The following is a 27,190-nucleotide window of genomic DNA, read 5'->3' as shown; positions in this document are numbered from 1 at the left end:
GCTATCCAGTTGGCTAGTGATTTTCACACTAAGTTTGCACATCAGTTTGTGCAGGTGAATTATGGGGAATACAGAAAATTCTGTATTATTTTGTATCTGCATTTTAATGTCTATTATATTGCCTGGAATATGACAAAAGTATTTGATTTAGTAAATAAAATATTTGCAATGTTATAATGCATTAAAGAAGAACAATTATTGGTATATATCATACCCTATGTCATATGGAAAAATGTTGTTTAAAATATATATGCACACACAGACACACATACATATATTACACTAATAATACCTTTACTTGACTTCTTAGGTTGCATGGGTTATTTTAATAAAATGGAAAATAATAATGTTAAAGTATAGATTTTATAGCTACAAAAACTTATATTTACATTTTCCAGTGATCCTCAGAACAATTTCATAGGTACCATTCTGGATAGGTATTATATCTATTTTATATATTAACAAATGAATGGGAAAAATTGCCTCAGGTCTAAACAGGAAAATGGAATAATAAAAAATAAAATAAACAAACAAACATCTCTCCTGATTATTAACTTAAATTCATGTTCCATCCATGTCATCATAATGCTTTTCATTTGAATTTGGTCTTTTAGTAATTTGTTAGTCTACCTAATATGAGTATGTTCAAAACCAACCTTTCCTACAAAGCTAGTAGAATTTTCAGGTCAAACCAAATCAAAAGCCTCAGCATAATACAGTTGTGTCAGATATAAGTTTTTTTTTTTTTTTTTTTCTACCTGGTATTTCTCCCTGGCAGAGAATTAAATTATTCTGGTATAATTTGCTTATCATGAAAACATGCTAGCTGCTATTTAGTATCCTAAAAGTTAATATATTTTAGAAGGATCTGATGAGTATTTGTTATAGGTGATTGATTGTTGGCAAAAGCAAATGGAGATATTTTAAATCTTCAAGAAGAAAAGATAAGTATTTCAAAGAGCTTAATAAAACTTAATGCCCATTTTCCTTTTCCAATAATTAACTTAAAAGGAAGCCAAAAGAATGCAGAATAGAGAATCACCATGAGAACATAAATTTGATTATCAAGAGAGTTATTTTCCATGTGTTAAGGCATTAGAAAAATATTCACAAGTATTCAGTGGCTCAGAATGTGTATCATGGACACAAAAACTGCCCCCCACAAAAAAATTACATCAGAATGTAATTTAGCCAACTGAAGAATGAGGAAACAAAAGGAACTAAATAATGGAGGAAAGGTGATATAAAAATTATTGTAATATTCACTCAATGCTTTTAAATAGGATCAACTCTATGAAATTTTATACATATGGTTATAAAACAAGTCAAATGTCATAATAAACCTTAAAAGAACAATACACATAATATAAAAATAATTTTAAAATAATAAATTCATTTACAAATTCTGATACAACTATAGAAATTTGAAATGGAAGAGATGAGGATGAGGAAAAAAGTTCGTGTTAGTTTTCTCATCTTCCTTGAGGAGAATTGGATAGATACACTCTTTCAAGTTTTGCCATTGTTATTTATAACATGTGTTCATATATTTTTTAGACCCTTTTTAGACCCTCAAATGTAACCAACAGTAGGATTTAAAACATAAAATATATCTTTCAAATGAATAGAAATGAAATGTGGAAAGACAAAGCTCATATAACAAAATATACAAACCATAGGAACTTATTCCAAACAACAGAAAGGAAAAGGAAAAGTAAATAGAACCTGTAATTATGAGGGTCAGCAAGCTACTTTCCATGGGTCAAATCTGGCCCACCACCCCTTTTTGTAAATAATGTTTTATAGGAACTATACCCATTAATTCACAAATTGTCTATGACTGTTATCATGCTATAATGGCAGAGGTGAATAATTGTGGCAGAAACTGTAAGGCCCACAAAACCTAAACATTTACAACCTGGTAATATTTTATAAAATAATTCACAGAAAAGTTTTGCCAGTTACTGATCTATGGTAATAAATATATATAGGATTATTTCATTACAATAGCTCAAGTTAACAGGGTAAGAGAAGAAAAGGTAAATAAAAACAATAATGTTATATATATTTTGAAAGGACATTCGCAAAATGTGCCTAGAATAACTAGGTAATGCTAATTTCTCAAGTCCCTTCCTTTTCAAGCAGTTGAATGATGAGAGTTTCACAGAGCATGTGTTATTTTTGTTGGATTTTGAGTCATAATTACAGGTTTTCTAAGCAGAGGACAGAAAAGTCATCCTAGGCAGAGGAAATAGCATGTGAAGACATGAAGGTGGGAAATAGATGAATATTTCAGGGGCAGCAAAAAGTGATCAAAACAAAAGAAAATGACTCTGCAGGTCTTTGCAATGATTATTCCTTCTCCTTGGTTCTTTCTAAAGAATTTGTCACTTTCTGAAATGATCTTACATGCTGATTAATATAGTCAACTCCATCCTCCAGAAGATAAGCTTAATAAGTATTTGTTGAATGAATGAATGAGTGAATGAATGAATGACCACATTCATTTGTCATGTGGTCCATTAAGCATAAAAGACTGCTGGGGAGTCCCAGAGGTCAAACAACATCACTGCCCAGTCACACTGATTTTATCACTTCGGTGTTATTGCCATACCGAATAAATTTCCTCTGAGCCATGCTTGTTCTACTCTTCCTAGTCTGCAGACCATTTCCTTTAATAAAGATGATAAAAGCAAAAAAAGGAGTTGACTAGTCTGCTTCCTCTCAGATAGTTACAAGCATTATTACATCCACTTTTGACCAAAGTAATTTTTCTTCTAGCTACAAACATAGTTAAAAAGTCTTTTTCTACAGTTTTGTCTGGCTTTGTTCAAAAAGAGTCAAACCTGCCCTAGCCGCTTACTCAGCTCCTCAGATCTCTGTGGTCAATCGTTTCAGCCTTAGCCTGTGGCTGATAAGAGCCGAATTAGAGGTCCAAAGTGTCAGTGGTCTACTTAACTTTTGGCTGTTACATACCCACAAACTCTAGTTACAAGACAGTCCTTAGTAATGCAGGTCTCTCAGCATGAAAGACCAGGTGAGAGTCGATAGACAAAACTTTTGCTAATTTATCCTTAAGCTGAAAATGACAACTTCCTGCACAGGCCCTATCATTGATTGAAAAGTGATATTTTACCTTTTTTTTTTTTTAAAAAAAAAAGCAGCCATCATAAATTATTGTTACTTTGATATTTACACATATTATACACACATTAGCTTAAAAGCTAATATTTTCTTTTACAAACAATATAGCTATATGCTTTATATAATTGATTGGTAAGTTACATTGTTTTGTTTTTTATGACTTCTCAGGAATTAAGTAATCAGAGTAGGAATAACAGTTTATTGTAGATGTATTCCTAACTTTAAATGAAATGTTAAATGCATATTTACCCTTATACAATAGAATTGTCTCTTTAATATAATTTTACTTTTATCAAGAGACAGATTTTCCTTAGTTCTACCTGCTTTCTAATAGTACCTAACAAAATTAGTTATAATTTTCTTATGCAATTATCAGGTGATGTTCCTCTGTTAGACAGGAACCCTTTCTCTTGTTTACAGCCTTTCTAAAAAAAAAAGTGACAATTCTTGTAAAACAGCCATACACATGGATTGTGATTTTCATTTTCAAATAAGATTGCTCCTCCTAAGAAGAAAGGAATCAAATTCCATTTCAAATTACACTACTACCTGTATTCGAGTATGGTTGGTTACTCACCCATGCAAACCTGCAGGTTTATGCCAGATGAAACAATTCTGAATGTAGGATTTTCAAGATTTGTAGAGGTAACCCAATTGTTAGGGATGTGTTTTGCCTTGAGATTATCCAAAGCTTCAGGGGAGAAAGAAATATGATAACAGGGTTTAGTATTTTAAATCCAGAATGAAAATACCTCAGAATAAACCAGGATGCTTTGTTGAGACTTTTCGTGTCCTTATACCTCTGAGAAAATGAGAGAATTGTGGATACTGTGAAAAAGATGAGACAGAAATTAAAAGACAAAAAAGATTTGGGCGAATATAAATCAATACCTAAACCTTCCTACATCTACAGAAATGTATCATTTTAGAGTGTTTTTCTCTATCTTTATGCCTCTAACACTTAGGTTTCAGGCTTGTTAAATAAGGTGTTACTGAGAATCTTTACAGAATTTTACAACAGTGCCCTAGAAGCCATTCTACGCTTGTTTTCAGTAGTCCCTGGGGCGGAAAATATGCTTGCAAATGATTGAGCACTGAATTTGTTGCATATTTTGTCTAATAAAAATTAGTTTATTGAAACTTCCACATTTATTAAGTGTTCCTGACCACTTAGTCCTGGGGCTCTGGCACATGCCCACCCTCCAAGGGACACGGACATGGAACTGCCCATGATCCTGCCCTTGGGAAGTTTCCCATCAGCTCTGGGGTTATCTCATGAGTCAAGGGAGGTACAGACCCTGTCTACACATTCCCGGACCCTACATTTATTTCTACAAAATTTCTCAAACTTTTTTTGAGGGTCATAGGCCTGTTGTTACTTCCTGTTTGCTACTTTGAAATGAATCTTCTGAACTGAATTGGAATACAAAGCAAACTAGTTTCAGAGACCAACAGGCCATTCTGAGTTATGAATGATAGGCTGATATTTTGAAACTCTTGTTTCCTAAAGATGACTTTCTGCAGGAAAAGAGCTTTGAAAGCAAAATCATATATGTTTCAGTGAGAGTCCAATTTTTCTCCATATGCCTTTTTGCAGAATCTATATATTAAACACCTTTCGCACATTTTTTTAACATACCACGAAATTCAATGTTTGAAACAGAACAGTTGTTTATTATTTGCCAATGGTCATCGGGATTTTATGGCTTCATGTTCTTATGTTCTTTCCTTTTTTTTTTCTTAAATAATGGTCATTATAATTAAGCAAAGTCAGCAGAATATAACATAGATGTCAATTTTCTAAATTAAATAGAAATTTTGTTAAAATATTCACAGCAGCCGGGCACAGTGGCTCACACCTGTAATCCCAGCACTTTTGGAGGCCGAGGTGGGCGGATCACAAGGTCAGGAGATTGAGACCATCCTGGCTAACACGGTGAAACCCCATCTCTACTAAAAATACAAAAAATTAGCCAGGCGTGGTGGCAGGTGCCTGTAGTCCCAGCTACTCGGGAGGCTGAGGCAGGAGAGTGGCGTGAACCTGGGAAACGGAGTTTGCAGTGAACTGGGATTGAGGTGGAGCTTGCAGTGAGCCGAGATGGCGCCACTGCACTCCAGTCTCAAAAAAAAAAAAAGTGTATATATATATGTATGTGTGTATATATATATATATATGTATGTATATATATATATATATATATATATATGTATGTATGTATATATACATATATTCACAGCAGATCAATAATTCATTTCATTAGTAGGTTACTTTAAAGCACGTCAGGGAATTCTCTAGAGGATTCACTTTGTACAAAGGTGTTTCAGAGGTAGAACTTCTAGAGGAAATTAAGGGTTTTTGTTTATTTGTTTTTAAATAAGACATTATTATTCCTGGATCTACCACACGATCCCATTAATTGTTAGAAATTTTCATCCTGAAATTTGATATCCTCATCATTAGTTTTATTTACTCATTTGTTTAAATATGCAGAATTAGAAAGACTTTATTCTGGACACGTGTTTGCTTAATACCACATTACAGAATAGTCTCTAAATACACAGAGAAACTGAGATAAAAGGCGCTTTGTAAAATCAAACTATTTTAATATACTGTTACCATATGAAAGAAAATGAGAGCTATTCCATGAATAAAGACTCTGCAGTCATTTTCTTACATAGTTTCAGGACCCTGTTTACACCTACACAGCTTACAATGGATGATATTGTTTCTCTGTTCAGTGTGAAGTAATTACGTTGCAGTTTCATTCCTATGAGATATTTCCAGATGCCATCAAGATAAGAGAACTAAAGTCACATCACCACAGGCAGCAGACAAAGGCAAACAGTTAATCAAACCATGACTGTGATTAGCCAGAGAAAAAGTGACAGTTTTTAGCAGTTCTGCAGCACCTGCATTTCTTCAGAATCTAGCTTTGGAGCAAGTATGGTTGGCTCAGCAAATTCCAATATCACAATTAGGAAATAAAGCATTTCATAGAAGAAGATTAAAAGAAGCACAAAATGCAGACTGCAAGAAAAACAGTGTTTAAAAAATTATATAAACTTATAATTTTTTATATAAAATGGGGGAATGTCTGTAATAAGCTCAGGAAATTATCTTTAAACTGGGAGAACGACAAGAATTTGAAAGCCACGGTAAGGCTGATAATCTTGCAAAATGAACTGCCAGATAGGAAAAGAAGAGATGTGGGGATTCCTATAAGGCATCTGAAGAATGTTAATGTGGATTAAAATTGTATTAACATAAAGAAATAACCACTCAGGCCTGAAAAATGAATATTGCCCTTTCACTGTTTCTAATAATTAAGTCATCTAGCAGCAGGCAGTTGCTTGTTTGCATTACACACATCCGACACTGTAATGCTTCTTATCTTTATGTCCTAAAATGTGAAAACTAGAATGTACAGGTGTTCATTGCAAGTTCTGCATAGAGGATTTTGGAGGTCACTATAGAACTCTTAAGAAATTGAAATGTTCAAGGCTGTGATGAAGAATTGAACCGTAATATATTATCTTTGTGCATATTCAAACAGAGCAATCTAGGAGACCAACAAATTCATAAAAATGTAAATCAAAGTCTATGATGTAGGATTCTCTACTATAAGAGCACCTACATTTTAAGAAACTTTATTCATTTATAAATGAACATTCTGAATTTTAATATATACTCAAGTTTTAGACACTGAGTTGGCTTGACAAAGGAATTCAGCTACTCCACAACCCTGATCTGCCAGCCATAGGCATTTAACAGAGTTTCAGGCCCTTAAAGGGTTTCAAAGTAGCGTAAACATTTAGCACAAAATAGCACCTATGCTGCCATCAATATCTTAGGGGTGCACAGAGCCGCTGATCTTAGGCCTAGAGTTTCACAAGTCTAGCAATAATTTTCATAGAAATAAGGACTCGAACAGTCTAGTCCCTACCTAGACTCTAGGTAACTCCTGAGAATTGAGGTTCAACAGTTGATTCTAGAGTCATGAAGACAGGAGTGCCTCCCAAAAAACTGAAGTTCAGCTCATCCACCAGAGTATCTTGGGTTTCTCCAATCATACTTGCTTGGAAGTTTATTATAATCAACAAATATTTGTGGGAAAAAATGTTGTGAACAACGCATATGTTTGACACTGTAAAAGATTCCAAGAATTGCATATATTGGCATGATTATTTTCAAATATTTCTTACAATTACAACTTTTCATCATTAAGAAAATACTAAAGAAAGGAAAATGTTATTTCATGTTAGTTATTACAGTGAGCAATGGTTCTAACATATATTTTATATTCAGGTTAACTTTTTAACTCATTTAAATATTTAATTAAATACCTAATTGCACAGAATATTGTATCAAATTTTGTACAAGTTGAATTTAATGACCATCCTCTATGAATTGGTCATCTCAAAATACTCTGCAGCAGATCACATTATTAAGTTCTCAGGGGGCCGGGCGCGGTGGCTCATGCCTGTAATCCCAGCACTTTTGAGAGGAGGAGGCGGGCGGATCACGAGGTCAGGAGATTGAGACCATCCAGGCTAACATGGTGAAACACCGTCTCTACTAAAAATACAAAAAAATTAGCCGGGCGTGGTGGCGGGCGCCTGTAGTCCCCGCTACTCAGGAAGCTGAGGCAGGAGAATGGTGTGAACCCGGGGGGCGGAGCTTGCAGTGAGCCGAGATCACACCACTGCACTTCAACCTGGGTGATAGAGACTCCGTCTCAAAAAAAAAAAAGTTCCCAGGGACACTGTCTATATTCTCACTTTTCATATATGTGTGGAAAATATATATGTAAATAAAATTACACTTTCTTTACCATTTATCCATTGACAGACACAGGTTGGTTTCATATCTTGGCTATTATGAAAAATGCTTTAATGAATATGGGAATGCATATATCTCTTAGAGATACTGAATTCATTTCCTTTGGATATATACCCAGCAGAGAAATTGAGGGATCCTTTGGTAGTTCAATTTTTAATTTTTTGAGGAAGTTTCAAACTTCTGTAATGGCTGTACCAATTTATATTCCCACCAACAGTGTACAAGGGGTCCCCACCCTCACCAACACTTACCTCATAAGGCACTATTATGAACAATTATGTGCCAACAAATTGCAAAACCTAAAAGGAATGGACATATTCCTAGAAACATACAATCTACCAAGACTGAATTAACAAAAATAAAAGCCGGAACAGACCAATAATGAATAAGGAGTAATAAAAAAACCTTCCAGCAAAGAATAGCTCAGGACCAGAAGCCTTCACAGCTGAACTCCATTCAAGGAGGAGCTAATACCATTCCTTCTTAAACTCTTCCAGGAAAAAGTAGATGAAATACTTCCAAACTAATTTTATGAGGCCAGCATTACTCTTATACCAAAGCTAGACAAGGACACTATAGGAAAGGAAAACTAAAGGTCAAAATCTCCCATGAACATAGATGCAAAAATTTTCAATAAAATACCAGCAGACTGAATTCAGCAACATTTTACAACAGTTCTTTTTTCTTCATGATCTCACCCACACTTGCTATTGCCTGTCTTTTTGATAATAGCCTTCCTAACATGTCAGATTGAGCAGGGTTGGGCAGCCAGTCAATATTACTCTGAGTTCTCAAGAAATTGAATTTTAAAACATAAATCAAAAAAGTAGACTGACATCTATTTCTGGAGAATATTATAATTTGCAAAACTCATAAAATGAAACATCTTTTCTATGACTATTGCCTTAAGTCAGAGTGATAGTTTTTTCCTTAAATTTTCACGATGTCCTAAATTTAAAATTATATTTCCACATGTAGCTTGAGGTTACCGTATTGGACAACACAGATTGGAATGAATTACTTCCTAGATTCATTTACTTTGGAGATAAGATTTTCACAATGGTTTGGAATATTTTTTACAGTTCAATTTATGTAGTTGCTCTTCATAGCTATCCAAATCCCTTAATTGCATATCATTCAGGATAAATTTTCTCCAGTTGGTGAGAACATTCTTAATCCCTGCTAGTGAATCAGTGACACCAGAACATTATGGTATAAAATTAGTAAATGTGTAGAAAAAACTAAGATACTTCTAGACCTCACAGAAGTATCCACTTAGTGGCTTAGCACAAGAGTATGGACCTAAAGATCCTGATTAGTTTCTAAGTGCCACCATTATGTAATGTACAAATTATTTTCCTCCTGGGCCTTAGCTTTTCCATCTTTAAATGCCAAATTTCTGCCATAAAATGATTTTCTAAAAATATGAGAATAAAGGTATGAGAAAAGTGTGATAAATACTTTGAGTCATGGCTTAATAATAATAATTATAATAAGAAGAATTATCAGCAATATTTACCAAACTGCTCATATTTGAATAGAAAATATTATTTCTAGTACAAAAAATAAGGTTAGGCAATCAAGTGTTGTGCATATATAGGCACGTTGTAATGTCACCCGATATTAGAGATTAGTTGATTACAACTTCCTTATTGATGCATTTCTTTGCTCTGAGGTTTTGTGTTTTAACCAAAAATCATTTAACCATAGTATGTAAAATGAGAATATAAAATAAAGGAAACATTTATACTGAAGGTTTTTTTTCTTGGAATTATTTCTAGCCAAAAATGTATACCTCATATGAAAAACCTTTAGTTGCCAGAGTAATATTCATTGGAATTTAATCATTTACTTGAAGACAAAGGGGAATAAAACTTTTCCAGTAAAAAATAGTTTAAATTATTTTAATCAGAAACTAAATACCTTAAAACAGTGACTCTTTAAAATGTAAAAAATTAGACATGATTTAGTTTTAAGTCAGTCAACTCTACCATGGGAATAGCTTTATTGTGGAAAATTTAACTCAGAAAGACTGGAAAGTATAAAACACTTGTTTGAGAATAATTTTGTACTTTAGGACACATTTTTGGCTGTCACTACTTGCAGAAGAGGCATTACTGGAATTTAGTGAATAAAGACTAGGGAGACTGCTAAACATCCTGCAAAGCATAGCTTAGCTCAGCTCCTCACAACAAATAACTATGTGGCCCAAAATGTCAATAATACAACTGTTAAGAATCCCTGCATGAAATAAAATTGGTGTATTCTTTCATCTCCTTTTTTCACACCTGTCTATTTCTTGCTCTCGCTAGACTCTCAAGGTCTCTCTCTCTCTCTCTGTTTTTTTTCTCATTCTTTCTTTCTCCAGTGAAACCTCTTTAATGAAGGCTCATTCATATTGTTGATGGCAAAGGACAGCTCCTTGTAATTAGAAATGAGACACGAAATCCTCAGAAATAAGAAATTCAATCAAGAAAGAGTATAGTACAAGTTGCATCAGCAATATAAAAAAATAATTTGAATCAGCAATACTACTTTTAAAGATAATTTAAATTGCCATAGTGATGAATTGAAGCATACTAAGATAAAATATTTCATGAACTTTAAGAAAGTTAGTCTTAGAGGCTGTAAACAGGAATGCCAACAAGTGTCAGTGAGCAGAGGGGACTGTACATTTGTCTAACACTTTTAAGTGTTTCTTCATTTTTTTCAATTAACCTTTGTGAGAAAACTACTGGATTTCAATTGCTCACATTCCTTTGTCTTCTGTCATTTGTAACCAAAAGTATGAAAACTATAATTTCCTTTTTATTTATGATTTCATAAGATTATTCTCCTGACTTTAACATGTTATTTTTCATTTTGCAATGTGGTAAATGAATGAAATTCATCCAACATTTTGAAAGAAATTACACAAAGTATGATAATTTTGGCCATCACATTTTATAAATTTATTTTACTCATTTAAATTCTGTTCATTATCTTTTCCTTTGGACTTAATTGTTCTCTATAGAAAATTTCTCTTAAATTTGACTTCTCATTCATTTACTGCATTAATTAATTGAAGACAAGGGTATAAGAAAATGAGAAAGTCGCATTATTGAATTAATTGAATGAGGAAGTTGAGATATGAAATAATGAAAGGAAAGTGAAACGTATTTCCACAATCAATTGATCATTTTATAAAATTCCCTCCTAAAATTGTCTCATTCTTCTTATTAATTACTTTATTTACTTCTGCCACATATCCTTCCATTGTTTCTTGTCTGATCCAAACACAGGAGGTTGAATTTCTCTGTTCTCTACTTCTGCAGTATTCTCACAGGTGCAGGCAGAGCCATATCTACTGTCTTATTTCCTGAGCCTTATGACCTTTCACATAGGTTTGAGTAGAGGTCAGATTTCCACATTAGTAAAAGATGGGATTTGCAAGGAATTGATTGGCATTCAGAACTCACAGACTGAGCAGGGCATCCCAAAGTCAAACACCTACAAGGGCCAAGACAATTTTCCAGGAAGGGCAGGTGTAAGTATTCAGGTAAGTGGAAAGGACTGGAAAATGAACAGGTTAAGGCCCATGTGAAAAGAAACCAGCTGCTACTTAAAGCACAGTGTTAAATTAAATTTAGTCTAAAGCTGCCTCCTTACATATTTTGAGCTAATTCTAAAGGTTTCTCTATACATAGTGAACCGTAGCCTAAATGGTTGTGTAAACAGGCTGTTACTCTTGTAGCAATCACTGAGTTTCAGACAATCAAAGGTGGCCAACTGTTCAAAGCAAGTTCAAATAAGGCAAATGGCAAACTGTAACCAATCCAGCTGTTTCTGTTTCTCACTTCCATTTTTTGTATGTCACTTTCCTTTTCCTGTCCATAAATCTTCAACCACTCAGCACTGCCAGAGTCTCTCTGAATCTATTCTGGTTTGGGAGGCTACCTTATTCATGAATCGTTCTATGCTCAATTAAACTCTGTCAAATTTAATTTGTCTAAAGTTTTTCTTTTAACAGCAGTGTCACCAACTATTCTGTTCTTTCAAAAGAAGCCAGAAAACTTATTTTCATATAAAATTTCATTATTTTTAAATGTTTGCAAAATTTAAAATCTCTGTAGACCAAACAAAACTGGTCTTCATGCCAAATGAGTTTTGTAAACCTCCTGTTTCTAACTGTTGACCTAAGCAGACACATTTGTTTATGTTAGGCTGTGTAAACAGAGAAGCAGCTGTCAAAGTTCTGTTAAAATAGTATTAGTAGGTTCCTTCATTCTACCATAAAGACACATGCACATTTTTGTTCATCACAGCACTATGCACAATAGCAAAGTCATGAAATCAACACTAAGGCTCATCAACAATAGACTATGTAAAGAAAATGTGGTACATACATATCACGGAATACTACACAGCCATAAAAAAGAACAAGATCATGTCCTAAGCGAACTAATGCAGGAAGAGGAAACCAAATACCTGCGTTCTCACTTATGAGTGGGAGCTAAACATTGATACACATATTAGGTAGTATGCTTATTACCTGGGTGATAAAATAATCTGTAAACCAACCCTGTGGCATGCAATTCACCTAGTAACAAATAGTATGTGGTACATACATATCACGGAATACTACACAGCCATAAAAAAGAACAAGATCATGTCCTAAGCGAACTAATGCAGGAAGAGGAAACCAAATACCTGCGTTCTCACTTATGAGTGGGAGCTAAACATTGATACACATATTAGGTAGTATGCTTATTACCTGGGTGATAAAATAATCTGTAAACCAACCCTGTGGCATGCAAATTCACCTAGTAACATTTGAACCTAAAATAAAAGTTTAAAAAACAGTAGTAATAAAAATATAGTAGGTTCTTGGGAGAGAGAGCTTAAATGCTCCTACCGTCTCTACTTCTAAATATACTTTAATGTTAAGTGAAAACTTGTGGTTAAGAATTTTTAGGTTTTCACTGGAAAAGTTTTTCTCTTTCTAGATATCACATTCTTTTTTTTTCCTCTCTTAACTGTTCTTTCTGTCACATTTAGGAGACTTTGGAACCACCAAACTTGCTAATTTTGATTATATCTGTATTTAATTCATAGAAAACTTAATAAATGTTCATTTTTAAACAGTATTTCATATTTCAACATGTACATTAAATATGATGGAATTAGTATGATCTTAGGGTTTTCCAGAGAAATTGAACCAACTGGGTATGTGTAGGCGTAAGAGAATATTTATTATGGGAATTGGCTCATGAGATTATGGAGGCTGAGAAGTTCCATCAGATGCCATCTGTGAGCCGGAGAACCAGGAAAGCCAGTGGTGTAATTCAGTCCAAATCTGAGAACCTGAGAACCAGGGGAGCCAATAGTGTAAGTCTTGGTCCAAGGCTGAGGGCCCTGCAGGTTGTGGGTGTTTGGGGGACACACTGGTTTGAGTCCCGGACTCGAACCAGGAGCTTCAGTGTCCACAGGCAGGAGAAGATGCATGTTTCAGCTTCAGAAAAGAGATGAAAATTTGTCCTTTCTCCACCTTTTTGCTCTACTCAGGCCTTCAACAGATGAATAGATCTTCTTTACCCAATCTACTGATTCAAATGCCAATCTCTTCCTAAAACATCCTCACAAACATACCCAAAACTGTTTTACCACCTATCTAGAAATTCCTTAACCTACTCAGTTGACACACAAATTTAACCATTATAAGTATGTTTTAAATGAACACTTCTTATTTTTTAATTTTTCATTTGTACAAGTATATAGTAGGTATAAATGATTATGGAGTATTTGAGATATTTTGATACAGGCATGCAATGAATAATAATCACATCAGGAAAAATGGAGTATCCATCAACTCAAGCATTTACTCTTTTTTTGTGTTGCAAGTAATCCAATTATATTCTTTTAGCTATTTTAAAATGTACAGTAAATTACTGTTGACTGTAGTTACCCTGCTGTGCTATCAAATACTAGATCTTATTTATTCTAAGTATATTTTTGTAACCATTAACCATCTCCATTCTATTTTTTATATATACAATATATAATGGTATATATTTTTAGTGCATATTGCATTCTCTTTGCTCAATATTTCTGCTTTTCAGATTACTAAATTTTGTTTGCTTATTTGAAAGAACCATATTTTATTCAATTTTCTTCTTTAGGTTTATTTTGTTAGCATGCATTTCAATCCTGATGTACAAAATATTTGAGCTCTACAAAAGTTATCCAATTATTAAAACTTAATGAAGAGATGACATTTAAAAGGATATTATAATAACTATTTTACAAAACAAATAATGAATTTCTGTTTAATTCTTTGTATAAAGGATTCTGTAAATGTTACATTTGTTCAAAGCAAATATTCATCTCTCTGACATCTTTCTTTAGACTATAATTTTTAAAAGACACAGAAGTTGTCTTATATCACTGAATTATTCAGAATTTCTTGCCTATAGTGTACGTACTAATATCCAAAGTCATTCCAAAAGTATCTGATCATGTTCATTCACACACACACACACACACACACACACACACATTTTCCTACTCAATCTCAGGGCAGCATTGAAAATTTCCTGGAGCAAAGATCTATTTCTGTTTGCTTATTTTAGATAATTACTGTAGCTAAAAATTATTTTCAGGGGGCATCTATAGCTAAGCCGCATTAGCAGGGGGCAAAGTTGGTGGTTCTCTTTGAATATATTCTACTGTCAAGACTTAATTTCTTTTCTCAGGACTGACATTTAATATATGATTGACCTTTACCTCGAATTCTAAAATTGTCAATTTTCTTTGTGGTAGCCTCCAATAAGGAAATTAATCAAAAGTTTAGGAAAATAAATGAGTTATTTAACTTTTGTCACCCAGTTAGTACTAAAAGTGACATGAAAAAATTCTTTTTACTGCCAAAAATTACAGTATATGTGGTTTCTTTTTGTCTATTTTGGTATTCCTCTCACACTGCCCTAATTATCTTCAACTTCTTCAAAACACTGACTTTCATATTAGCCAGCTGAGTCACTCACATAAGCACTAATAGTATAGATTTAATTATCAGTTGAAAACTTTCTTTGGATAACCTACTCTGAAATCTCACTCTTTGACTGTGCCTCCTAATGTTTTATGTAAATTTCTACTGAGTCATATCTTTATCTCTACCAAAATGGAGATCTTTAGTTGTCCAAGTCCTACCATATTCCTCTCCATCTCCTAAATCTGGCATCACCTCTCTCTTTTTCAAGTCATTGTTTTACAACCAGTCATTCAATATAAACTTTACTATTATTTTGTCAATCTAATAGTCTTTTATAATTCCAGTTATGGAAATTTGTTTTATCTTATTATTATGGGCTTTCTGGAGGATGTCACAAAACAATGATGAATGAGCCTAGGTACTATTGACCTGTGCTTATCTTCAAACTCAGTTAAACTCTCATTTTTGCCTGACCATCCTGTTATTCATATTTTTTCATTGATTCTTTATCAATAGCTGTAACACTTTTGTAATATCAATTGGAAACAGTCCATTCATTCATTCCCATATCCTTTTTCTAAGCTCACTTAATATTTTCACTGTCTTAATCTTGTCCTCAACAAACCTGCAATCTTACTTAGATTAGCCCACCTTTTATTTCATTGCTTTTAATGATAGAAATGTCTTTCCTTTTACCAAAGGAAAAAGGCCAATATTTCATATCTTCTTTGAAGCCCCATCCCCTTGACTCTTCTCAGAACTTTGTTTCTTTAATTTTTCCTCTTTTTTTCTTCTCTTCTTTGGCAATCATATCAGTATACCAGAATTTTCTGGTGTGTTCAGCCACTGTATAAAAAAGAGGTAAAAGAAAACATAATACAGCAAAACATCCAATTTCTCACTATCTCTAACTATTTGCTTATATTCCTGAACTCTCCTAAAGCCAACTTGCTCAGAAGATTGGTCTGCACAGGCTATCTTCAATTGTTGTTTCCAGTTACACACTTTGATCCAACACAATCTTAACTATTTTCCTACTACTCCATTAAAAATGTTTCTGTTAAGGTTGCCAATATTTTTAATGATGTTTCTGTCCTCACCTTACTCAATTTCTTACCAAGTCAGCCACACTCATATTCTTAAAACTCTCTTCTCTCATGGCTTCCAAGACTCTAACATCCCCCACTTTTCCCCCTTACTTCACTGATTGTTGGGATTCACTCAGGATGGTGGCAGAAATATTAAAGGGAAACATTAGGGAAAGTTATAGGGAATAGTCACAAACCTTTTTTACATAGCTTGTAATAATTGAACAGGCTGAAGGCAGCTGGTCCCTACCTTAGAGCATTAGGTCATAGGGTAAATACTAGGGACAATAGAGGCTTCCCCAGTTAAGTCTGTTTACCCTACTTCCATTAACTAACCTTTGAGCCAGATGGCCCTCTTGAGTGGGAGGGGGGGCTGGGGGGCAGGTCGACCAGGGATGTTGCCGCCTAATGGTATTTACTCTAAACCACGGTACCTGAGCTTTATTCATTTGTAGAACTATTCTCTTAACCATGTTAATTATCCACAAGTGTGTTAACTCAGAGCATCCGTTGTTAATTGTATACTAAATAAATGCCTGGAGTGCAAACTGCTCAAGGCCAGCCACAGTGACAAACCTTTCTTGGTGGGCAGGCGGTTGGACACTCAGCAGGACTGGCAAAACAGAATATCTGTGTGTCAGTGTATGTTTTATTCATCCATCATTTGGGTCAGGGTCTGCGGGCAGACCCCCGCAGCTAATGCCTTCTTGTGAGGAGCAATACCTCAACTGATCCTCTTCAAGAGTCTCATTTGCTGTCTTCTTTACCTGCACTCTCCTTCTACAGATTGGAGCCATTTGTGGTTTAAACTTGGACCCTCTTCTCTATATAAACTGTTTCCATGAAGTTTTTTATCCCACTCAGAAATAGTAGTCAACTTATACATGTGGTTTTGAAACAAACACATTGCGTATTTGAGTAAACTAATATATGTCCTACAATCAACATGTCTTTTAAGTTTTTGGTCTTCACAATGCTTCAGTTTAAAAGACTCCAGGAAATAAAAACTGAAAATTTTAGTCACTAATTAAATAAATTGAATGGTTTCTTGGTCTCTTCATTGTAAGCATTCATAACAGAACTATGATTCAAAATGACAAGAAATAGAGTATGCATATATTCTTAAATAAGAACTCTACCCACCTGCCTAGTCTTCTATTTGAGTTCTTTATATATTTTTTTGTGGTCAGCAGAATGTACACATTCAGGACTTTTTGCAGTCTTCTTGAAAATGTCTACTTCAATAAAGTGTTTGAGTATTAAAAAACTAAATATTTCCTGCCAAGTAAAAGTGTAACAAACATTTCTGTAAGAGAAAGTTAAGGAAATGAAAGTCTACAAATTCTGATTTCTCTACAAGTCAAATGAAGCCATGAACCTTAAACATGACGTGCACTTTCTATTCTCTGTTTCTCACAAAAGAAAATTCTCATCCATCATTCCTTTGAATAAATAGCATTTCTTCCTAATTATGTCTTTTAGATATTTTTTGAATCCTGTTTGGTTGTGTTAAATTTTCGCACTTTTTCTTAGAACTTTCTAAATCTCTCTTTTGTATTTCTCATATCTTTAAATATCTGAGATCAATAATGGAAAATTCTTCAACTATATTATCTATTCACTCTCTTTTTACTTGTCTGTAAGTGTGTTTAACCCATTTATTTCATTTTTAATTTGAATGTTTATGTATAAATATATATAATTATATATAAATCAAATTTTATATGTATATATATACACACACACATATATACATATATATCTCCTTGGTTTGCTTTTTATAATCTTTTGTTGTTGACATATATTTTCAAGATTTTTGAAAATGTATTTTTAATATAGTTAATACAAAAATGTATTTTTTCAATATATTCCAACTTTGATGATTCAAATTTTTTGGAGCCTTTTTTAATCTAACAAGGCTAATTATTGTGTTAGCTAATGCTCACACATGGTGACTTGTTTTCTTTTATTGTGCAATATTTTAAAAAATCTGTGACCCACTAAGTTTTTTTTGGTACTTTAACTCTGAAAATTATTTGTGGCTTATTTATTATTTACTTGATTTCTTACATCTTAGAATATTTGCATTTGCTTTTGCCAATTCCCTGTGGGAAATATCAATCCAGGACAACTTAAAACAAAATTTTCAACTTTAGCTGTTTGTACCACTAAGGTACTTGAGTTCAATCATTAAAATTATTTGAGAACTTGTTTATGTAAATTGTGTAGGGAAATGTTTTTCTTATTTCTATTCTTGTTTAATATCAAAACAGGCAAGTTTCCTTCTTTATGAGCCATTCAGTTCTCAATTACGCTAACACTGAAGAACAGAAATGTTAGAGTGAATTACCTTACCAAAATATCATAATAATTAAGAGATAAATCCTAATTAATTAAGTGTTTTTTTTGGCACAAAGCTAGAGAAATTAAAAATAGACCAGAATGGCAGTTCTGTATAAATAGAACTTGATGCAGGAAACAAATGGCCTTTCAAATTACAGGGTAAATGATTTTCCACCTTCCATTGAATATGTAGTGATGGAAAATAGGTTACCTATAGAGAAAAAAATTAAATACCTACTTTACTCCATATAGAGATAAAAATTTTAATTGAGTATGATTTACTTACGAAAATGACCCATTTAATGTTTGAGAAACCATACACATCCATAGTGCCGTGTAATTCAGAAGATCATTTGTAATTGCATGAAATTAACTCACAACAAAGGAAAATAGGTTGAGGCTTAAATGGTGTATATACATTTTACATTTCTCAAAAATTCCAATTACCAGCTATAGTATCAAAAGTATGCTCAAATAGCTTAAGCTTCCAACTACTTTTTCCCCATTTCGTGGTTGTTACTGGTAAGCGCTCCTAGGTTCTTGTCTGTGCCTGTCTGACTGCTCAAATGCAAAATTTCTGATAGTACAGCAGCAGTGATTGAGCAGATGACTAAAAGGAGTATTCAGAAATACTTGCAGTGGCGTTTCAGCTCTGAAATTGATTTCTAAGTTAGATATAAAGGCATATACTGGTGGAAACTTTGTGAAGTCAGCCTCTGTTTGAGACTAATTTCTCAGTATAAAATGTATATTATTGGATTTTACTTGAATTTTTTAAACCAAAAGAAGAAGGCTTTTTTTTTTTTTTTTTTTTTTTTTGAGGGAGTTTCGCTCTTATCCCCCAGGCTGAAGTGCAATGGCGCGATCTCGGCTCACTGCAATTTCTGCCTCCTGGATTCAAGAGATTCTTTTGTCTCAGCCTCCGGAGTAGCTGGGATTACAGGTGCCCACCACACCTGACTAATTTTTTTTTTTTTTTTTTTTTTTTTTTTTTTTTTTTTTTTTTTTTAGAGACAGGGTTTTGCCACGTTGGCCAGGCTTGTATCCAACTTCTGACCTCAGGTGATCCTCCCACCTCGGCCTCCCAAAGTGCTGTGATTACAGGCATGAACCACCACGCCCGGCCACTTCATACCTGAAATTCTAAATTTCCTCTGCTTTCCTTGAAAAATAATTATGCTTTAATAAGAACATAACTTGTTCTAAGCAATCATAGTTTGTCTTCATCTATCTTTTTTAAGCCTGTTTCTGCATCTTCCAAGGGGTAGTTCCAACTGCTATGTTAAATCTGGAAGTGCGAGCACCAGCTTTCCCAAGAGCCATGCCAAGGCACACACCACCTCAAGAATTCTCCTCGAGAATATTTCACTTCAAGTGATTCAAGCCGGGTACCCCAGTGTGGACTGTCATTCCACCTTCTCTTTCAACCTGTAATCAAGCTTCAACTCCCACTGATGCTAGTTCCTTTATCTTAGCATCCTTCTACATCTGTCTTTTTCCTTCCATTCCTATGGCTTCTAGCCTAGGACAGGCCCTCTTAACCATTTCACTGGACTATTGCAATAACTTGTGGGCAGGCTTTCACCTTTAATTTGGATCCAATCCTCCATACTCCAACCATCCGTTCTTCACATCACTGATAAGATTGCCTTCTTCGATATTAAGGAGATCATTCTCTTCTCCCTTAAAAAATTAAGTCCAAACAGCTTATTATTGTAATTAAGGCTTTCACTAAATCATAACTTACATGTTTAAAGATTCTGTTTATATTACTTTTAAATACTTTATATTTAATGATAGTTCATCTTGGCAAACATATTCCAAAGAGCAAACAGATAGAAATGTATAAATCACCTTCTATTTTTTATTTTCATTTTTCAACTTAACTCTTCAAAAAATAATTGATGAACTCCAATATTAACTGAATCTATTTGTATATTTCCTCATTAGTTAAATGAAATATTTGTAGTGCCTATTAATGGCAGTTAAAGTACAGTTTATGTCAGTGGAAAACAAAAAAATAAGTATGCTCAATTTAAATAATTTTTAATATCAAGACTATAATTCACCAAGTTGAACATTAATCATGAAAATTTTAAAAAAATATATGTAAGGCAAATTTTGAATCTTGCTATTGACCATCTTGCTTCTAAAAACATATTATGGAAAGAATATTAGGCATAATAAACTTATTTTTAAGGTAATGAATGGGAAATTATATTTTCCAATTGCTTTCCTATGGAAGGTGACTACAGAGTATTCCAGTCATACCGGCAACATCCTGAGCTTATTCTGTTTTTAACAGGAATAACAACATTTTAATATATATTGAGAAATTCCTTTTCTAACACAAATATGCAGAGTAAATGCTGTTTTTTTAATCTCTCTTTTGCAGTCTCTTTTGGCCAAGAAAACATGCTCACTCTCAAAAGTATAGATATGTTTTCATGTCACTGACCAAAATAATTGGAAGAGAAGCAACTGAATTTTTTCAAAATCCTACACAATTTAAAAAAATAGCTCCACTTGCGGACAAGTTGGTGACTGCAAAATCGTCAGTTTTCTAATTTCCACCAAGTTATGGACCTCTCCCTGGAATCAGGCACTTCAGTGAAACTTTACTAGGTTATAGTGTGGCAGCTGTATGGATCATGTAGGTTTGCATTCTGAACATTTATCCAAACTTATAAAGTCTTTTCATGCCTCATGCATAAACAACAGATTGTTCTCTCCTGTTGTCAGTGTTTTCCAATGCGCTAGTGTTAGTCTCAGTGGTGCTGCTATCTCACTTTACCAAAGACCAAGACTACTATAAATTATTTACAAATGAATTTATTTGGACATAGATTGGAGAAATTTTACCTGAAGAATGTGCCTTCTCTCTCTGCCTCTCTCTCTTTCTCTCTCAACATTCCAGTAAAACAGTTTTCCAGAAAAAAACACTGGACCAATTTGGCTTAAGTAGTTTTTCTCTGTAGCAATCATAAATATTATCATTGCTCCCATTCATTTCACTAATCATATATTCACAGGTATGAAATACTGATGTCTATACATTGATCTCTAAGGAAACTTTATACTTGTGTTGAATAAAGCTAACTCATAGACAAACTGACCATGGTAGTGGATCATGTATTATTATTCTAAAAAAGGAAAAATATAGAGGAATTTAGAATCTGAATATGGACCCTCAGTATGGAATAAACAGCTAGCATATTGCATAATCTTTCTATTGAAGATGCAAGTTAGAAAGAGACCGTCTCATTTTCCTGCTCTCTCTATCAGTAGCAGGGCGTATGTTATTTTTATATCAATCAACACATATGTGCTTTTGGGGAGTGATTAGTTATGATGAGTTTCTCCTACTCTTCCTGAGAAATCAAATGAATTTCAATTGCAAACTCTTTGTAGGCAAAATTAGTATCTATCTTGATTGACCTTGTATCATCAAGGATGATCACCATCACTTTGACACATTCTAGATATCAATAATTATTTTTGAAAGAATTAATTGATAGACAAGTTTTGAGCCAGCAAATAGATTTTCAAAGTGCCATCACCTACTATGTTTAACGGACTCACATACAATGAATTAAAAATAATATAATGAGATACACAACAATTATTTTCAATGTCAGCAGCAAATAGAAGGCTTGCAGTGTTAATTTACTTTACTTCCTCTATCACCACTGCTGCTCCATATAAGACCACATCTCCCAACCCCACCAAAATCATTATACAACCTAACTAAAAGTGGTGTAAACAAAACATTTTGACAAGTCTCCTAACTCTCCATTCCAATTAGACATCTTATTATAAAAAAAGGGAGGTGTAGAAAGGCAAGTGAATAAAGTGAATAGCTTCTCTTCCTGAATGATATATTTAAACACAGGCTGAGCTCTCAGGCGCCGTGTCCCTTTCATATGCTTCTCCAGGTGAAGACCTGGTGAAGTTTGGAGAAACTAGCTCCTGTGCACCTGCAGAATTCCATGCCTAGAATGAGGTCTTCTTTGAACTTAGTCCTATATAATTCAAGGGATAACTATTTATCTTCACTGTAATTCTATCTATATGCACTATTAAAAACAACAACTGTTATCACTGCAAAAAAAAAACTTCTTGGGAATAAGTTCTAGTGTTTTATAACATTGTAGGGTGACTACAGTTAACAACAGTTTATTGTATATTCAAATAGCTAGAAGAGGGGATTTTGAGTGTTACCAACACAAAAAAATGATAAATGTTTGAGGTGATAGATTTGCTAATTACTCTGATTTGATCATTACGTTGTACATATGTAACAAAATATTACACTATGCCCCATAAATATGTATCAATTAAACTAATAATATACGTAAGTAAATTTTAAAAATAAAACCCCTGAGAGAAGTATATTTAAATCATTATCTCATATCATACTATTCACCTGTTAAAAGAATTATGTCCTTCTCTGCCATGGTACCATTCCTAGAGTATAAGCCCAATGAAGCTAGGGCTGTGGCTTTATTATCTTTGTATTTCCAAGTAACATGCAATACTATAGATTATATTAAATGCTTCTTTAATAAATGTCTGAGTGAAATTCTATATTACATTTAAAACCTCATGAAATATCTATTTCAATAATAACCTGGGAATGTCAGTGTGTACTACATGGAATTATACTAAGTGCTTTACAATTACCGTCTTGAGGCTTCAAACAACTTTACAAAAAAGCTATGATGATCATTACTTTATCATTAATTGAAGCTCAGAAAAAAATAAGTTGCCCAGGTCATATCTTTAAAGGCAGATTCAGTATTCAAGCTGGCTCATGTTTGATTTCCATTTACATCATGTCTACTCAGATAGTCTTCAGTGAAATACCCAGATAAAATTTGTTTTCAGTAAACTGTCTATTGGTATATTATGTGCATATGCACACATGCAAAATTAGGTTACACATATGCTCATGATATACATATGTATATATGAGTTATATACATATATTTATAATGTATATAGTAAATTTTCACTAAAGTGCCTGTATATATATATTGCAATTATATATATAAACTTAACTATATCATGTCTATGTAATTGTGATTTTATATACATAATTTTCATTTTATTTTCTCATAAAAATGTTGAAACAGTGAATGAAATTGCCTGAAAATGACTCTAGGAGCCCATTCTAGGTTGACTAGATGACATGCTAGTTGGGACCTGCTCCTTCCCTCAGTGGCAGGGAACGTACCCAAGCTCAGCTTCTCAAAAAAATAAAACTGTCTCCTTCTAGCAGGGATGACCACAACATTCTATAGACCCCAACAACATCTGTAAGAGGTGAGCAACTGGCATTTCCATTAGTCTCTTGTAAACAGCTGACACCACACTTCCAGGCTTTCTGGCAGCTTGTTTATTCTTCAAATGACAAAAAAAATTTCCTATACTTTTCCCTATACGATGGGAAACTCATGGGAAAAATGGCCTCTTCACTAAAATGGAATTTTAACCTTATTTAGTAGATGTTCTGGTATGTGTCATGATGGATGATGAGATCCTGGGGTGTGTGAATCTTTATCTTGCTTACCTTGCCTTGAGAGATACCCGTTCCCAGATGACACCGATAGCTTAACTCATGTAATATGATGTTGTGATGTCATTATGGACTCTAGAATGCACCTGGTGCAAAATAGAGAAATGATTTCAATAGGGAAACAATTTCAAACAATAGAGAACTGATCACGAAGGCATATATTGACCAAGATTGTAAGATGATAGAACCAGACAAAAGTCCCTTATCTTTCTTTCCTCTTTATAATTAATCTTGCCTTCAAAAAGACAAGCTGAAATCCAGGCTTACCTTTCTAAAGGTTTTCCATCATCTGTGAAAGGCTGAAGTCATAAGGAGAAGAAAAAGGGAGAAACAAACAAAAGAAAGAAGGAAAATAAACAACTGTTCGAGTTCCCTAATAAACATAGTTCACTGCTGTTGTCAGTGAAAATTCAATGACCATTAACATCACCACTCTAAAAGAAAAATTACCCTCACTTCATCTATCAAATCAATATCTGCACAGAAGAGGGAAAGTATCATAGATTTTAAACAGCAAGCAGCTCAATAAATTGTCTGAGGTTCCCAAGCCACATTAATCAGATGCTTGTTTTAACTGATATTACTGCAACACATTCAGAAATTGCATTGGATATTAACCCCTGTTATTTCAAAGATATTTTTAAAACCCCTATTATTTAAAATAATAAACTTATGTTTATAATTATATGGAGGTGAGGGACAAGGGTGGTGAAGCATTTACATATCTCCTTAGTAACATTCAAAGTTTATTTAAAATTTTATGATGCATGAATTAAATAAATATATTAATTCTGAGAAAAACATTGATTTATGTACTATCATTAAAATGATGCAGCATTGTTTTGTCATATTGGATACTTCATTTTTCTTTCTTACTGATTCCAGTTCTGTTATTGGCACATTGTATATGTTTCTTGGACTTCAGTCATTGAATGCCTTTAAGATATTTAAAAGGAAAATCTCCTTTTTACTTATTTGTTTTTTCCTTCATAAGTTATCAACATTTTCCCAGAATATACTGATGGGGGCCTCACCTGGTATGAAGCTATCATTAACTAAACCACCTGGGCCCCCTGCCTGATGAAGTGGGGTAATTTGAACCCACTATGTCCTCCCATATACCTTCAAGTGCAAAGCCTGGATTTCTCTGAAGTGAGATGTTTGCTCACACAGTGCCTTTCTTGAATGTACTTTGTTCTCCGCTGGACTCACCTTTGCTAGGGGCCAGTTATATTCCTGCTGAGTATGGGTATACATAGAAAGGGCAAGTAAGGAATGTTTTGCCTTCTGGAAATAGATTATTAATTGTGAACAAGGAGATGAGACACAAGCACTAAAATGCTGAATGAAATTTATAAGACATTAGGCATTTGCAAGGAGAAAGTTGTTTTGCAGACAAAGATATGATGTGACTATTTAGAGCTAGATGGGCCACTTTATTAAACAGTTTCCTTGGTGCTCAGGGAGGGAAAGATAATCTTTCCAGAGATTCTGTGAGTTGGATTTCTGTTGGTTCTTCTAATTTACTCAAGAACCTGAGTGACCCAGGCCATTGATGAGGAAGTAAGTGCTAATGACTGATAATGGGCATCAAGAATTGGGCCAGGTGAAAAAGTAGCATAGACATTGTCCTCTCTTTCTTGAAGCTTTGAGTATGACAGAGAGAACAAGTCATTTAACTAACGTAAAAAGAAATAAGAAAATATTATAAGTGAGTTAAAACTCATGTATCCCGGTTTCTAAAGAGGGAGCTTTGATGCGACTGGTAATTGGAATGATGGTGACTGGTATTAAATTTTTGTTGTTATGTTTTATTGTTCTTATTGTTTGTGATTTTACAATATGCTGAGATTGGCCTCTCAATTGGAAATAAATGTTCTACAAAGGCCCAGTAACATTAGATTACATAAGCAATTGAGAGGAAGCATGGAAAGGGAAATAGAAATGTAATAAAAGCAGAATACAATGGCACATGCAACATTTCATGACAAACAGAAGGTGTCTTAAAAAAATTATGTTTCCAGGCAAGGTGGCTCATGCCTGTAATCCCAGCACTTTGGGAGGCCCAGGCGGGCGGATCACGAGGTCAAGAGATTGAGACCAGCATGGCCGACATGGTAAAACCCCGTCTCTACTAAAAATACAAAAATTAGCTGGGCGTGGTAGCGGACGCCTGTAATCCCAGCTACTTGGGAGGCTGAGGCAGGAGAATCACTTGAACCCGGGAGGCGGAGGTTGCAGTGAGCTGAGATCGCTCCACTGCACTCCAGCCTGGGAGACAGAGGGAGACTCTGACTCAAATATATATACATATATATATATATGTATATATATATACACATATATATGTATATATATATATACACACACACATATATATACACACACACACACACATATATATATATACACATATATATATATGTTTAAACTTATACCTCACATGTAAATAAGAATTACCCAAAGTAAGGTAGTAGGAATGAGTGTCTCACTCAAAAGATGTGTGAAGGTCCAGAAATGAGAGGAAGTTCTAAATATTAGAGGAACTAAGAGTATCTCACTTCCTTATGGTCAAATTTATTGTATATTGAAAGGGAGGGAAAGTAATGGTAGATTATGTCAGAGATATAGTTAGGGCTAAGTCATCATGATAGGATAAGTTTAGAATTTTTCTTGAAAATTATGAGAAGCCACTGAATTTGAGAAATAAAGGAAGTGTTAAGATTCGTGTTTTAGAAAGATTACTGTAGCTGGGCCAGGGGCGGCGGCTCAGGCCTGTAATCCCAGCACTCTCGGAGGCCGAGGCGGGCGGATCACAAGGTCAGGAGATGGGGACCATCCTGGCCAACACGGTGAAACCTTGTCTCTACTAAAAAAAAAAACATACGAAAAATTAGCCGGGCGTGGTGGCAGGCGCCTGTAGTCCCAGCTACTCTGGAGGCTGAGGCAGGAGAATGGCGTGAACCCGGGAGGCGGAGATTGTAGTGCCACTGCACTCCAGCCTGGGCGACAGAGCGAGACTCTGTCTCAAAAAAACAAAAAAACAAAAAAAAAACACGAAAGAAAGATTACTGTAGCTGCAGTATGGAAGTTTTGAAGTAATGAAAATAGTGGTATCCATCAGGACCCATCACAAAATCAAAATTTGTTCTAGATATTACAACCAGAGAATATACAGTTGACCCTTGAACAATGTGTGGGATTGAACTGAGTGCTGCCATAAATAT

General features: G+C 34.1%; 1 long non-coding RNA gene across 1 annotated transcript, besides 1 other annotated feature; it reads right to left on the bottom strand.

The window, feature by feature from the left end:
* Positions 1 to 358: part of an enhancer, noted in NCBI's record as "MED14-independent group 3 enhancer chr6:115391597-115392796 (GRCh37/hg19 assembly coordinates)", that runs on past the window's edge. NCBI's record gives its function as "activates an origin of replication core promoter dependent on BRD2, BRD4, P300/CBP and CDK7 cofactors, and independent of MED14, by STARR-seq in HCT116 cells {active_cell/tissue: HCT116}" and the evidence as "EXISTENCE:reporter gene assay evidence [ECO:0000049][PMID:35650434]".
* Positions 17,311 to 24,017, bottom strand: LOC105377960 (uncharacterized). Its single transcript, XR_942905.1, has 3 exons — positions 23,958 to 24,017; positions 19,971 to 20,068; positions 17,311 to 17,348 (listed from the first exon to the last, which is right to left on the bottom strand). It is a non-coding gene; the product is annotated as an uncharacterized LOC105377960 (long non-coding RNA).
* Between the last annotated feature and the right edge of the window lie 3,173 nt (positions 24,018 to 27,190).

Source organism: Homo sapiens, chromosome 6 (genome assembly GCF_000001405.40).
Source record: "Homo sapiens chromosome 6, GRCh38.p14 Primary Assembly".
In the NCBI taxonomy this organism is placed as follows: Eukaryota; Metazoa; Chordata; class Mammalia; order Primates; family Hominidae; genus Homo; species Homo sapiens.
This window is presented reverse-complemented; position numbering and strand designations above follow the sequence as displayed.